Genomic DNA, 15,620 nt, shown 5'->3' on the forward strand with positions numbered 1-15,620 from the left:
AGGCAGATTGCTTGATCCCAGGAGTTTGAGACCAGCCTGGGTAACAAAGGAAGAGCCTGTCTCTACAAAAAACTAAAAAATTAGCCAGGTGTGGTGATACATGTCTGTAGGCCCAGCTACCCAGGGGCTAGGTGAGAGGATCGCTTGAGCCTGGGAGATCAAGCTACAGTTAGCTGTGATGCATGTCTCTGCACTTTAGTCCAGGCATTGTCTTAAAAAAAAGGAAATAGGCTTGGCATGGTGGCTCTCGCCTATAATCCCAGCACTTTGGGAGGCCGAGGCAGACGGATCACTTGAGGTCAGGAATTTGAGACCAGCCTGGCCAACATGGTGAAACCCAATCTCTACCAAAAAATACAAAAATTAGCCAAGGGTGATGGCATGAACCTGTAGTCCCAGCTACGCGGGAGGATGAGGCAGGAGAGTTGCTTGAACCCAGGAGGCGGAGGTTGCAGTAAGGAAGTTCAGAAAGGTTGTAGAATACAAGATTATACAAAAATCAATCGTGTTTCCCAAACAAGCAATGAACATGTGGACAACCAAATAAAATTATAATATCATTTACAACACCATTTTACAAGGCAAACAGAAAAAGAAACACTTAGGTGTAAATGTAAGAAAACCTGAAAACTACACAATGCTGATGAAAGAAATCAAATTTTTCTTTTTCTTTTTTTTTTTTTTTTTTTGAGACAGTATCTCGACTTTGTCATCTCCTGGGTTCAAGCTGTCTTCCTGCCCTAGCCCACCACGTAGCTGGGACTACAGGCACGCAACACCATGCCCAGCTAATTTTTTTTTTTTAAGAGATGGGGTTTCGCTATATTGCCCAGGCTGGTCTCAAACACCTGAGCCCAAGCGATCCACCTGCCTTGGCCTCCCAAAGCGCTAGGATGATAGGCCACCAAGCTTGGCCAGGAATCAGATTTTTTTTTTTTTTTTTTTTTTGAGACAGGGTCTTACTCTATAATCCAGGCCGGAGTGCAGTAGTGCAGTGGCGTGATCTCAGCTCACTGCAACCTCCACCTCCCGGGTTAAGTGATTCTTGTGCCTCAGCCACCAGAGTAGCTGGGATTACAGGCCTGCACCACCATGCACGGCTAATTTTTGTATTTTTATTAGACACGGGGTTTTGCCATATTGGCCAGGCTGGTCTCAAACTCCTGGCCTCATGTGATCCACCTGCCTCAGCTTCTCAAAATGCTGGGATTACAAGCGTGAGCCACCATGCCCGGCCAGAAATTGGATTTTTAAATAAATGGAAAGATATACCATTCTTCCTGGATTGGAGGATTCAAAATAATAAAGGTGTCAATTCTGCCCGAATTGATCTGTACGTTTAACATAATTCCTATCAAAATCTCACCAAGATTTTTCTAAATTTTCTAAATTATCCTACAATTTACGTGGAAAGACAAAGGAGTAGAAAATTGTTCTAGGAGGCTGGAACAATTTAAAAAAAAAAAAAAGAGAATCAAGTGGGAGGAATAAGTCTGTTGAATTTCAAGGTTTATTATACACAGCTATAGTTATCAAGACTGTGTGGTGTTGGTGAAGAGATAGACATATAGATAAATGGAGTAGAATAGAGAAACAAGGCTGGGCGCAGTGACTCACGCCTGTAATCCCAGCACTTTGGGAGGCTGAGGTGGGCGGATCACCTGAAGTAGGGAGTTCGAGACCAGCCTGACCAATGTGGAGAAACCCCATCTCTTCTAAGAATACAAAATTAGCCGGGCATGGTGGCGCGTGCCTGTAATCCCAGCTACTCAGGAGACTGAGGCAGGAGAATCGCTTGAACCCGGGAGGCAGAGGTTGTGGTGAGCCAAGATCGCACCATTGCACTCCAGCCTGGGCAACAAAGAGCGAAACTCCATCTCAAAAAAAAAAAAAAAAAAGAGAGAGAGAGAAACAAATCACACAAATATGTCCAATTGATTCGTTTTTTTGAGACGGGGTCTCACTCCGTCACCCAGGGTTTAGTGCAGTGGCACAATCCTCACTCACTGCAGCCTTAACTTCCTGGGCTGATCCTCACACCTCACCACCCGCAAGTAGCTGGGACTACAGGTGCATACCACCATGCCCAGCTAATTTTTTTTTTTTTTTTTTTTTTTTTTTTTAGAGATGGGGTTTTGCCGTGCCACACAAGCTGGTCTCAGCCTCATGGGCTCAAGCAATCCACCACCCTTGGCCTCTCAAAGTCCTGGGATCACAGGTGTGAGCCACTCTGCCTGGCCTGCCCAATGATTTTTTTTTTTTAAGACAGTATTGCTCTGTTGCCCAGGCTGGAGTGCAGTGGCACAATCTTGGCTCACTGCAACCTCCACCTCTCAGGTTCATGCAATTCTCCTGCCTCAACCTCCCGAGTAACTGGGATTACAGGTGCACGCCACCATGCCTGGATAATTTTGTATTTTTAGTAAAGCCAGGGTTTTACCATGTTGGCCAGGCTGATCTCAAATTCCTGACCTCAAGTGATCCACCCATCCTGGCCTCCCAAGGTGCTGGGATTACAGGTATGAGCCACCATGCCCGGCCCCCAGTTGATTTTTTAAAAGGTGCAAACACAGTTCAGTGGAATGAAGACAGTCTTTTCAATAAATGATATAAGCGGAGGTCAAAGGTAAAAGAAAAAAAAAAGAACTCTGTCCTACTACTCATATATTATACAAAAATTGGTCAGGCGTGGTTGCTCACACCTGTAATCCCAGCACTTTGGGAGGCCAAGGCAGGAGGAATGCTTGAGCCCAGGAGTTCGAAGTTAGCCTGAGCAACATGGCAAGACCCCATCCTTACAAAAAAAAAAAAAAAAAGGTGTTTAATTAGCTGTTTTTGGTGGCACATGCCTGTAATCCCAGCTACTCAGGAGGCTGAGGCAGAAGAACTGTTTGAGCCCAGGATGCTGAGGCTGCAGAGAGCCATGATTTTACCACTGCACTTCAGCCTGGGCAATAGAGTAACACCTTGTCTCAAAAACAAAAACAAATTGACTCAAATGAGGTCACAGGCTTGAATGTAAAACATAAAATGATAAATAAAACCTATAGAAGGCCCGGGTACGGTGGCTCATGTCTATAATCCCAGCACTTTGGGAGGCCGAGATGGGCAAATCACCTGAGGTCAGGAGTTGGAGACCAGCCTGGCCAACATGGTAAAACCCTGTCTCTACTAAAAATACAAAAACTAGCTGGGTGTGGTGGTGTGTGCCTATAATCCCAGCTACTGGGGAGGCTGAGGCAGGAGAATCGCTTGAATCTGGGAGGCAGGGGTTGTAATGGGCCAAGATCACGCCACTGCCCTCCAGCCTGGGCAACAGAGCAAGACTCCGTCTCAAAAAAATAAAATATGCCAGGCGTGGTGGCTCACGCCTGTAGTCCTACCACTTTGGGAGGCCAAGGCAGGTGGATCGCTTGAGGCCAGTTCAAGACCGGACTGGCGGCTGGGCGCAGTGGCTTATGCCTATAATCCCAGCACTTTGGGAGGCCAAGGAGGGGGGATCACGAGGTCAGGAGATCGAGACCATCCTGCCCAACATGGTGAAACCCCGTCTCTACTGCAAATACAAAAATGAGCTGGGCGTGGTGGTGTGTGCCAGTAGTCCCAGCTACCTGGGTGGCTGAAGCAGGAGAATGGCATGAACCCAGGAGGCAGAGGCTGCAGTGAGGAGAGATCGCACCACCGCACTCCAGCCTGGGCAACGGAGTGAGATAATGCCTTAAAAAAAACAAATAAAATAAAATAAAACTTGTAAAAAAAAAAACAAGAAAATCTTCAGGATCTAGGTTTAAGTAAAGAATTCTCAGACTGGCCAGGCGCAGTGGCTCACGCCTATAATCCCAGCACTTTGGGAGGCGGAGGTGGGCGGATCACGAGGTCAGGAGATCGAGATCACGGTGAAACCCCGTCTCTACTAAAAAAATACAAAAAATTAGCCGGGCACGGTGGCAGGCGCCTGTAGTCCCAGCTACTCGGGAGGCTGAGGCAGGAGAATGGCGTGAACCCGGGAGGCGGAGCTTGCAGCGAGCTGAGATTGCGCTACTGCACTCCAGCCTGGGCGACAGAGCAAGACTCCATCTCAAAAAAAAAAAAAAAAAAAAAAAGAATTCTTAGACTTAGGGCGAGCATGATGGCTCATTCCTATAATCCCAGCACTTTGGGAGGCCGAGGAGGCGGGTGAATCACCTGAGGTCAGGAGTTCAAGACCAGCCTGGCCAACATGGCAAAACCTTGTCTCTACTAAAAATACAAAAATTAGCCAGGCATGATGGCGCATGCCTGTAATCCCAGCTACCTGGGAGGCTGAGGCAGGAGAATCGCTTGAACCCAGGAGGAGGAGGTTGTGGTAAACTGAGATTGTGCCACTGTACTCCAACTTGGGCGACAGAGCAAGACTCCATCTCTAAATAAATAAATAAAAATAAAAAATTAACCTGGCATGGAGGAACACACCTGTCATCCCAGCTACTTGGGAGGCTGAGGCAGGAGGATCACTTGAGCCCAGGAGATCAAGGTTACATTGTGCTATGATCACACCACTGCACTCCAGTCTAGGCAACACTGTGAGACCTTGTCCAAAAAAAAAAAAACTAAACTAGAGATACAACTACAGTAAAACTCAACAATTGCATTCCTAGGCATTTATCCCAGAGAAATGGAGAAATGAAGACTTACTTTCTGACAAAAGCCTCTGTGTACAAATGTTTATGGCATCTTTATTCCTAAAAACCTCAAACTAAAAACAACACAGATGCTGTTAGGTGGAAGAATAGTTAAATTATGATAATCCATACCATGACTACTATTCAGCAATAAAAATGAATGCAGTATTCATATATGTGATAATACGAATGAATCTCTAGAAAATTATGCTGAGGGCTGGGCATGGTGGCTCACACCTGTAATCTCAGCATTTTGGGAGGCAGAGGCAGGAGGATCACTTAAGGTCAGGAGTTCAAGACCAGGCTGGCCAACATGGTGAGACCCCCCCACCACCACCACAGCCCCCATCTCTACTAAAAATACAAAAATTAGCCAGGCTTGCGGGTGCATGCCTGTAATCCCACGGGAGGCTGAGGCAGGAGGATCTCTTGAAACCAGGAGGCGGAGGTTGCAGTGAACCAAGATCGTGCCACTGCACTCCAGCCTGGGCAACTGAACGAGACTCTGTCTCAGAAAAAAAAAAAAAAAAAATTATACTGAGTTTATTTATTTAATTAATTTATTTATTTTTGAGACAGAGTCTTGCTCTGTTGCCCAGGCTGGAGTGCAGTGGTGCAATCTCGGCTCACTGCAACCTTCACCTCCCGGGTTCAAGCAATTCTCTGCCTCAGGCTCCCAAGTAGCTGGGATTACAGACGCCTGCTACCACACCTGGCTAATTTTTGTATTTTTCGTAGAGACAGGATTTCACCATCTTGGCCAGGCTGGTCTTGAACTCCTGACCTCGTGATCCACCCCCTCGGCCTCCTAAAGTGCTGGGATTACTGGCGTGAGCCACCGCACCCAGCCTATTTATTTATTTTTTAATTTATTTTTTGATTTAGTTTTTCGCTTTGTCACCCAGGCTAGAGTGCAGTGGCACGATCTTGGCTCACTGCAGCCTCTGCCTCCCAGGTTCAAGCAATTCTCGTGCCTCAGCCTCCCGAGTAGCTGGGATTACAGGCGTGCACAACCATACCTGGCTAATTTTTGTATTTTTGGTAGAGACGGGGTTTCTCCATATAGGCCAAGCAGGTCTCAAACTGCTGACCTCAGGTGATCAACCTGCCTTGGCCTCACAAACTGCTGGGATTACAGGTGTGAGCCACTGTGCCTGGCCAATGCTGAGTTTAAAATCCAGTCCATGCTGGGCATGATGGCTCATGCCTGTAATCCCAGCACGTTGGGAGGCCAAGGCAGACAGATCGCTTGAGCTCAGGAGTTTCAAGGCCAGCCTGGGCAACGTGGTAAAACCCCATCTCTAAAAAAATAAACAAAACTAGCAGGGCATGGTGATGCACACCTGTAGTCTCAGATACTCAGGAGCCTGAGGTAAGAATGGCTTCATCTCAGGAGGCAGAGATTGCAGTGTGCTGAATCCAGCCACTGCACTACAGAGACTGGGTGACAGACAGCCAGACCCTGTCTCAAAAATAAAGAAATAAATAAAAAAAATTTTAAAGCCAATCCAGGCCAGGCACAGTGGCTCACGCCTATAATCCCAGCACTCTGGGATGCCGAGGTGGGTGGATCACCTGAGGTCAGGAGTTTGAGACCAGCCTGGCCAACATGGTGCAAGCCCATCTCTACTAAAAATACAAAAATTAGTCAGACGTGGTGGCAAGCGCTGTAATCTCAGCTACTGGGGAGGCTGAGGCAGGAGAATCACTTGAACCCAGGGGGAAGAGGTGGCAGTGAGCTGAGATCGTGCCACTGATCTCCAGCCTGAGCAACAAGAGCAAGACTCCATCTCAAAAAAAAAAAAAAAAGCCAATCCAAAGACTTTACATACTGTACAATTCCATTCATATAACATTGTTTTTCTGTTTTGTTTTGTTTTTCTTTTTGTTTTTGAGATGGAGTTTCACTCTTGTTGCTCAGGCTGGAGTGCAATAGCACAATCTTGGCTCACTGAAAACTCCACCTCCTGGATTCAAGTGATTCTCCTGCCTCAGCCTCCCGAGTAGCTGGGATTACAAGCATGCACCACCACTCCTGGCTAATTTTTGTATTTTTAGTAGAGACGGGGTTTCACCATGTTGGTCAGGCTGGTCTCGAACTCCTGACCTTAGTGATCCACCCGCCTCGACCTCCCAAAGTGCTGGGATTACAGGCATGAGCCACTGCATTTGGTCTCATATAATATTTTTAAAATTTAAAAAAAATTATAGAAATGATTACACTCTAAGGGCTCTGAGATTCTGGACAAATGTTAGAAACACATGGCTGAGCACAGTGGATCATGCCTGTATCCCCAGCACTTTGGGAGGCCATGGTGGGTGGATCACCTCAGGTCAGGAGCTCAAGACCACCCTGATCAACATGGCAAAATCCTGTCTCCATTAAAAATACAAAAATTAGCCAGGCGTGGTGGTGGGCGCCTGTAGTCCCACCTACTAGGGAGGCTGAGGCAGGAGAATCGCTTGAAGCCAGGAGGCAGAGGTTGCAGTGAGCCGAAATCATACCACTGCACTCCAGTCTAGGCAACAGAGTGAGACCCTGTCTCAAAAAAATAGAAAAGAGGCCAGGCACGGTGGCTCACAGGCCAGGCACAGTGGCTCACTCCTGTAATCCCAACACTTTGGGAGGCTGAGTCAGGCGGATCACCTGAGGTCAGGAATTCGAGACCAGCCTGACCAATATGGAGAAACCCCATCTCTACTAAAAATACAAAATTAGCAGAGCATGGTGGCGCATGCCTGTAATCCCAGCGATTCAGGAGGCTAAGGCAGAAGAATTGCTTGAACCCAAGAGGCGGAGGTTGCGGTGAGCCAAGGAGTGCAATGGCGCCACTGCACTCCAGCCTGGGCAACAAGAGCGAAATTCTATCTCCAAAAATACAGGAAAAAAAGAAAAGAGGGTTGGGCACGGTGGCTCACTCCTGTAATCCCAGCACTTTGGGAGGCCGAGGTGGGTGGGTCACAAGGTCAGGAGATCGAAACCATCCTGGCCAACATGGTGAAACCCCGTCTCTACTAAAATACAAAAAATTAGCTGGGCGTGGTGGCGCACACCTGTAGTCTCAGCTATTCAGGAGGCTGAGGCAGGGGAATAGCTGGAACCCAGGAGGCGGAGGTTGCAATAATCTGAGATCATGCCACTGCATTCCAGCCTGGCAACAGAGCAAGACTCTGTCTCAAAAAAAAAGAAATAAAGAAAGAAAAGAAAAGAGAAAGAAAAAAAAGAAAGACATGACATCTCAGGCAGAAGCAGCCTCCGTTCTAAATTTGTTAAGACATGACTCACCTTTCAGAGTTCCTGAAATGGTTGCTAATAAGGGTGGGTAGGCCCAGGCTGACGCGTTACACTTGTGACATTTTTGTTGGTTTGTTATAATGTACTAGTTCTTGATTCTACTACGATTGCTTTTGTTTCTGAAAACCTTGAAATAGTCCAGGCGCGGTGGCTTACGCCTGTAATCCCAGAACTTTGGGAGGCTGAGGCGGGCAGATCACAAGGTTAAGAGATAGAGACCATCCTGGCCAACATGTTGAAACCCCATCTCTACTAAAAATACAAAAATTAGGTGGGCGTGGTGGCACATGCCTGTGGTCCCAGCTACTCAGGAGGCTGAGGCAGGAGAATCGCTTGAACCCGGGAGGCAGAGGTTGCAGTGAGCCAAGATCATGCCACTGTACTCCAGCCTGGCGACAGAGCGAGACTCCATCTCCACAAAAAAAAAAAATATATATATATATATATATATATATGTATATATATAAATTGTTTTGTACACCGGATGTGAAGACTTTACGTTTATTTGAGACAGGGTCTCACTCTGTCACCCAGACTGAAGTGCAGTGGCACAATCATGGCTCAGTGCAGCCTCAACAATCCAGGCTCAAGTGATCCTCCCACCTTAGCCTCCTGAGTAGCTGGGACCACAGATGCACACCACCAAGTCCAGCTAATTTTAAAAAATTTTTGGGGCTGGGCGTGGTGGCTCACACCTGTTATCCCAACACTTTCAGAGGCCGAGGCAGGTGGATCACTGGAGGTCAGGAGTTCAAGACCAGCCTGACCAACATGGCAAAGCCCTGTCTCTACTAAAAATATAAAAATTAGCCTGGCATGGTGGCAGGCGCCTGCAATCTCGTCTACTCAGGAGGCTGAGGCAGGAGAATCACTTGAATCCGGGAGGTGGAGGTTGCAGTTAGCCAAGATCGTGCCACTGCACTCCAGCCTGCGAAACACAGCAAGACCCCATCTCAAAAAAAAAAAAAAAAAAATTTGTAGAGATGGGATCCCACTATGTTGCCCAGGCTGGTTTTTGGTTTTGTTTTGTTTTGGTTTTGTTTTTTTGAGACAGAGTCTTGCTCTCATGCCCAGGCTGCAGTGCAGTGGCGTGACACAGCTCACTGCAACCTGTCTCCCGGGTTCAAGTGATTCTCCTGCCTCAGCCTCCCAAGTAGCTGGGATTACAGGTGCCCACCACTATACCTGGCTAATTTTTGTATTTTTAGTAGAGACGGGGTTTCACCATGTTGGCCAGGCTGGTCTCAAACTCCTGACCTCAAGTGATCCATCCTCCTCGGCTCCCAAAGTGCTGGGATTACAGGCGTAAACCACTGCACCTGGCCCCCAGGCTGGTCTTTAACTCATGGGCTCAGGCAATCCTCACACCTTGGTCTCCCAAAGTGCTAGGATTACAGGTGTGAGCCACTGCACCCAGTCCTGAAGCCTTTATTAAGGGTGAAAGGACATAAACATGCACACGAAATTATAAACTGAAAGGAAAAAGCTATTTCCCCTCCAATCACAACCTTACCTGTAATAAGCACTTGATCCGTTCTCCAGGAGTCATGATTCCTGTGGTGAATACGCCAGATAACATCCCAGCTGCAAAAAGCTGGGGATAGCTGCATTGAAAACAAAAAGCAGAAGCAAGCACCTGTGACTAACCACCGAGGACAGAGGCCAATCCCAGCAAAGAGGACAGTTTTGTAAGAAAAAAAATAAGTACTTGGACTGGGTAGAAGCCTAGCCACAAATGAATCAGATTTCGCACAAAAACTCAGTTCTAGGTATATTTTAATGTCAAATTTCCCAGAGCAAGGGTCTCAGTGGCAAGAGCAATGGGAGTCTGGCCACAAGGCCCACCCCATGTGGTACACGCTCAGAATCCCTCACCTGTAAGAGAAGTTTTATATAGTAAAACATGGCTTCCATCCATGCGCCTGCCAGGCACAGTGACTATGGACAAGTTTCCAGGCCTCTCTGAGCCTCAATTCTCCCTAGTTAACATGCTGGGGTTTTTGTGGGGGAAGTCTCTAACCCAGGATCTGGACTTTAATCTCCCCCAGTAGTTCCCCTCCAGTCTCACTTCCCCTGGATTACCAAGGGCCTGAGAACACTCTAAGCCAAGATTCAAGCAGGACAGCTTCAAGGCCAAGGAGGATGGCTGTGGCCACCTCTAAAGGCTAAGGGATAGCCAAGGCAACTGCATGCAACGTGCTGTAAGACGCTGAGAAAGGACCAGACAGGGATGATACCCAGGCAGGCATGACAGGTCCTGTGGACCCTGTACAGGGAAATAGTCCCCCAGTGTCAAGAGGTATGGGTCTTCACTCTGGCCCCCACAGAATGAACAACCCTGAGTATAAAGAGCAGTCTGAGGCTCCTACCATCTATCACCCACAGCTGTCTGTGCCACCTCTGGCATCTCCCTTTCTTTTCTTTTCTTTCGTCTTTTTGTTTGTTTGTGTTTGTTTTGAGACACGGTCTCACTCTGTCCCCAGGCTGGAGTGCAGTGAAGCGATCTCGGTGCAACCTCCACCTCCTGGGTTCAAATGATTCTCCTGCCTCAGCTCCCGAGTAGCTGGGATTACAGGAACCTGCCACCACACCCAGCTAATTTTTGTATTTTTAGTAGAGACGGAGTTTCACTATGTTAGCTAAGATGGTCTCGAACTCCTGACCTCAAGTGATCCACCCACTTCGGCCTCCCAGAGTGCTAGGGTTACAGCATGAGCCACTGTGCCCGGCTTTTTTTTTTTTTTTTTTTTTTGAAACAGGGTCTTGCTCTGTTGCCCAGGCTGGAGTGCAGTGGTGCAATCTCAGCTCACTGCAACCTCCATCTCCTGGGCTCAAGTGACCTTCCCACCTCAACCTCCTGAGTAGCTGGGACTACAGGCAAGCCGGGCTAATTTTTGCATTTTTGTAGAGACAGAGTTTCGCCATGTTGCCCAGGTTGGTCTCAAACTCCTGGGCTCAAGTGATCCTCCTGCCTTGGCCTCCCAAAGTGCTGGAATTACAGGTGTGAGCCACTGTGCCTGGCTACCTCCTTTTCTTTCTGGGATTAGCAATACCAGCACGGTTTGGAGGCAATGGGGCACAAAGTTACATTTAGCATTTCAACAGAGTTCCACAACTTAGCAAATGTTACTGAAAAACTTCACCTACTGTCCTAAGCTTCGGTGCACTCTTGACCCCAAGCCTCCAACAACTGAGCCTTCAGGTCAGTCCCATCCAACAAGGAGCTTATGAACAGATGCCAAATGGGGCTAGAGGGACATCCACTGTAAAGAGTTCACTCCAGGCAGGGCACCAGTTTCAACAGCGCGATTTCTCCCTGCATTCACCCCAGGCAGGGCTCATGCATCTACCTCAGGCACACAGCCAAGCTGACTGTCAAACAGTCAAGAGACTTGCTTTCCAACACGGCCATCTTCACAGTCCCAGTTCACATGGCTATCCCTGAGGAGTCCTCTCAGCAACTAAATTCTCCCTATGAGACCAACATGTTCCATTTTCCCCATAATGCCCAACCCTAGGCTCAGCAAACCTCATCTCTTGGGACTGGAGACTGTCTCTGAATAGGATCTCTGTGTGTGCACAGGGTGTCATGTGGACACTCAATGGCTGCCTGGCCTATTCTCCCACTCCCCACCCCCATCTCCATCCCAGGGAGGCATCTTTGAGAGCTAGACTCTCCTGGACTTCCACCCCAAGGCCCTGGTAACACTCCTTTCCATATCACCCCCAAACACCATTCCAGGGAGGTGAACACAGCAGGGCTGACAGGATTGTGGGAGTGGGGTCCTGAGTGTCTTAACTTTGTTCAGTCAGGAAGACTGTTTTTCTGAGTGCTGATGTGACTGTACAGGAACACAGCCCATAGTCCAAAGTACCAGAAGTGACCCCACGGGGGTCATGCATGGCCCTGATACATCCGTGAGCTGGCACACATGCTAAAAGACCAGGCGCTCAAAGAGGGCATGTGTCTGTGGGACACAAGGACTATCAATGGGCAAATGCAGCTCCAAAACAACCCCATCCACATTTCAGGACACTTGCAGCTATTTATAGAATCTAGGGACATTCAGAGAGTCATAAGGATCCCAGAAATAGAGTTTCACTCTACAAGCACCTCCATCTACATCCTAGACCCTCACTCAGCCTGCTGTGGCCTGAAGTGGTGACAGAATACAACCGCATGGCGCCCTGGGCTTCCTCCCTTGAGCTCCTGGATCTGAGGGCAGGCCAGCCTCTGTGGCTCCTGTACTGCCTATAGCCCCTCCCAGGGGCTGGCATCCTGCACAGCTCAGATTGTGGATACCTTTTCACCCAATATTTCCACTCAGAATTTCCCTGCCTCCTGAGAAGCCTCTGTTTTCATTAACTACTTTGTAAATTCTGAACTATAATTCTGTCTCAGGTGACTCTTCATACCCAAATCCAACTTCTTAAAGTTTATTAAAGGAAAACACATTAACTTATTCCACTTTAACAGAGAAACTAATACCTGAAATCTTTATAGTCATATTAGCATGCTGTAAAAATGAAGCACAACAAAAGTTGGAACCTTCTCTTCTCTCAATCAGGTGATAGAAAGCAAGGCTGTTCTTGTCTTTAGGGCAGCACCAGGTGCTGCCTATGACATGTCACATATATTTAAGCATTCAGACCTCTCAACAGCCTCCTGGGGTTGGTATTACAAATCTCTCCAGTAATTGATACTACCTTATAAAAGAAATACGAAAAACTGGTCAGGTGTGGTGGCTTACACCTGTAATCCTAGCACTGTGGGAGGCCAAGGCAAGAGAATTGCTTGGCTCCAGGAGTTCAAGACCAGCCTGGGCAAGATAATGAGAGCACCCCCCGCCGCCCCGACACACACACACCGACCATTGCTAAAAAAAATTTAAAAATTAGCCCAGAGTGATGGTGTGTGCCTGTAGTCCCAGCTACTTGGGGGGCTGAGGCAGAAGAATCACTTGAGCCCAGGAGTTCAAGGTTACAGTGAGTCGTGATTGCACCACTGCATTCCAGCCTGGGTGACAAAGAAAGACCCCATCTCAAAAACTCAAGTACTTGGGCTGGGCACAGTGGCTTATGCCTGTAATCCCAGCACTTTGGGGGGCCAAAGGGGGCGGATCACGAGGTCAGGAGATCGAGACCATCCTGGCTAACACGGCGAAACCCCGTCTCTACTAAAAATACAAAAAAAAAAAAAATTAGCCGGGCGTGGTGGCGGGTGCCTATAGTCCCAGCTAGTTGGAAGGCTGAGGCAGGAGAATGGTGTGAACCTGGGATGTGGAGCTTACAGTGAGCCGAGATTGCGCCACTGCACTCCAGCCTGGGCGACAGAGCAAGACTCAGTCTCGAACAAACAAAAAAAAATTTAAAATTAAAAAAATTAAAAACTCAAGTACTCCTTCATGTATAACTCCCAGGAGTTGGGCCAGGCACAGTGGCACACGCCTGAAATCCCAGCACTTTGGGAGGCCGAGGCGGGTGGATCACCTGGGGTCAGGAGATCGTGACCAGCCTAATGTGGTGAAACCCCCTCTCTACTAAACACACAAAAAAATTAGCCAGGTGTGGTGGTGCATGCCTGTAATCCGAGCTACTTGGGAGGCTAAGACAGGAGAATTGCTTGTACCTGGGAGGCGGAGGTTGCAGTGAGCCGAGATTGTGCCATTGCACTCCAGCCTGGGCAAAAAGAGCAAAACTCTGTCTCAAAAAAGAAAGAAAAAAAAAACTCCCAGGAGTCAGGCCTAGGGGCCCAGGAAGACCCACCAAGGTCCTTTTTTTTTTTTTTTTTTTTGAGATGGAGTCTTGCTCCGTTGCTCAGGTTGGAGTGCAGTGGTGCCATCTCGGCTCACTGCAACCTCTTGCCTCCCAAGTTCAAGCGATTCTCCTGCCTCGGCCTTCCAAGTAGCTGGGACTACAGGCGCCTGCCACAACACCCAGCTAATTTTTTTGTATTTTTAGTAGAGACAGGGTTTTGCCATGTTGGCCAAGCTGGACTCGACCTCCTGACCTCAGGTGATCCACCCGCCTCAGTCTCCCAAAGTGCTAGGATTACAGGTATGAGCCACCGCGCCCTGCCCAAGTTTCTTTATTTTAACCCATGTCACGCTACCAGGCAGAACAGCAAGTGCTCCTGACCTGTAAGTACTCACCTGAGCACATCTTCTGGGTGTTTCTGTTGTAGTTTCTTCCCCAAACCAAACCCAAAGAAGCACACGGCAAACATGGGAGTGACCCCGATGATAGGGGCAGCCATTCCCCGATATAGCCCCGTGATGCCCTGCAAGGAATCACAGAAGCAGAAGCTGTTTACAGACACCACCACCTTTTAAATCACTGAAAGAGGAAAGCAGTGTGTCCTCCAAACTGTGGCTTCCTTCACCTCTTCTTGAAGCAAGGAGAACTTTAAATGGAAGAAAATCTCCCACATTTATCAGAAATAATTTTCCTATTATGCTGGAGAAACTGAAGGCAGTTTCCATTCTCAAAGGCAATCTGTTTTTGTTTTGGGGGCTTTTTTTTTCAGACAGGGTCTCACTCTGTCGCCCAGGCTGGGGTGCAGTGGTGCGATCACAACTCATCACAGCCTTGATCCCCTGGGCTCAAGTGATCCTCCCATCTCAGCCTCCCAAGTAGCTGGGACTACAGGCGTGCGCCACCATGCCCACCTAATTTTTGTATTTTTTGTAGAGACAGGGTTTTGCCATGTTGCCCAAGCTGGTCTCGAACTCCTGGGCTCAAGTGATCCTCCTGCCTTGGCCTATTAAAGTGCTGGGATTATAGGCATAAGCCACTGCACCCGGCCAGCAATCTGCCAATATGTAGCATACCCTTTCACCTGGAAATATTTTGTGTGGAAAATTTATTGCAAGGAATTTATTCTAGGGAAATACTCAGAGGTGTAAAAAGAATAACCTCAGGCACTTATAAGGTACCAAAATTTTGGGGAAAAAAACAAAAGCTGCCAAATAGAAGACAAATTATAAACTCCATAAATGGAGTCACATGGCCAAGAAATCACATTATAACATGAGAAGAGATTATTAAGTAAAAAAAAAAAAAAAAGCTACAAAACAGGATACACAACGTGATCTACCTTCTTTGGGGTAAGATTACAAGTGATTAAGAAAATGTTTTATATTTTCCAGGTATTAAGATGGGACTTTTGTTAGAACTGCACAGCAATTTTCACTAGCACAGTTTAGTAATGAAAGGGAAGATGAGCCTGGGCAGCATAGCAAGACCCTGTCTCTACAAAAACAAATAAAAAATAAAAGTTAGCCAGACGTGGTGGTGTGTGCCTGTAGTCCTAGGCAGTCAGGAGGCTGAGTTGGGAGAATAACTTGAGCCAAGGAGTTCAAGGCTGCAGTGAGCTATGACCTTGCCACTGTACTCTACCCTGGGTGACAGAGTGAGACCCCATCTCTAGAAAAAAAAAAAGAAAGTGAATTATGTGGTAACCAATAAATAATTAGACAGACAGACAAATACATACATAAATACCCTGCCAAACAAGGTGGTAAACGAGGAAGATTCAGGACCTGGGAGACCAGGGGGCCAGTCCAAGAGAGATGAAATGCGTTTCTAGGATGGCACAGGGTGCAGTGGACCTGGGAAGCAGTCAGTCCACAGGGCAGTAGAGGACTCCAAAAGCGATGTTTCCA

General features: G+C 47.7%; 1 protein-coding gene across 1 annotated transcript in view; it reads right to left on the reverse strand.

The window, feature by feature from the left end:
* SLC25A20 (solute carrier family 25 member 20) overlaps window positions 1-15,620 on the reverse strand; it is a 41,957-nt gene that overhangs the window by 12,963 nt on the left and 13,374 nt on the right. The window contains exons 3-4 of the mRNA NM_000387.6: window positions 14,109-14,236; window positions 9,470-9,560 (exon numbers count right to left, since the gene is read on the reverse strand). Coding sequence (NP_000378.1) covers window positions 9,470-9,560; window positions 14,109-14,236 — 219 coding nt within the window. The remainder of the gene's footprint in view (window positions 1-9,469; window positions 9,561-14,108; window positions 14,237-15,620) is intronic.

Source organism: Homo sapiens, chromosome 3 (assembly GCF_000001405.40).
Source record: "Homo sapiens chromosome 3, GRCh38.p14 Primary Assembly".
In the NCBI taxonomy this organism is placed as follows: domain Eukaryota; kingdom Metazoa; phylum Chordata; class Mammalia; order Primates; family Hominidae; genus Homo; species Homo sapiens.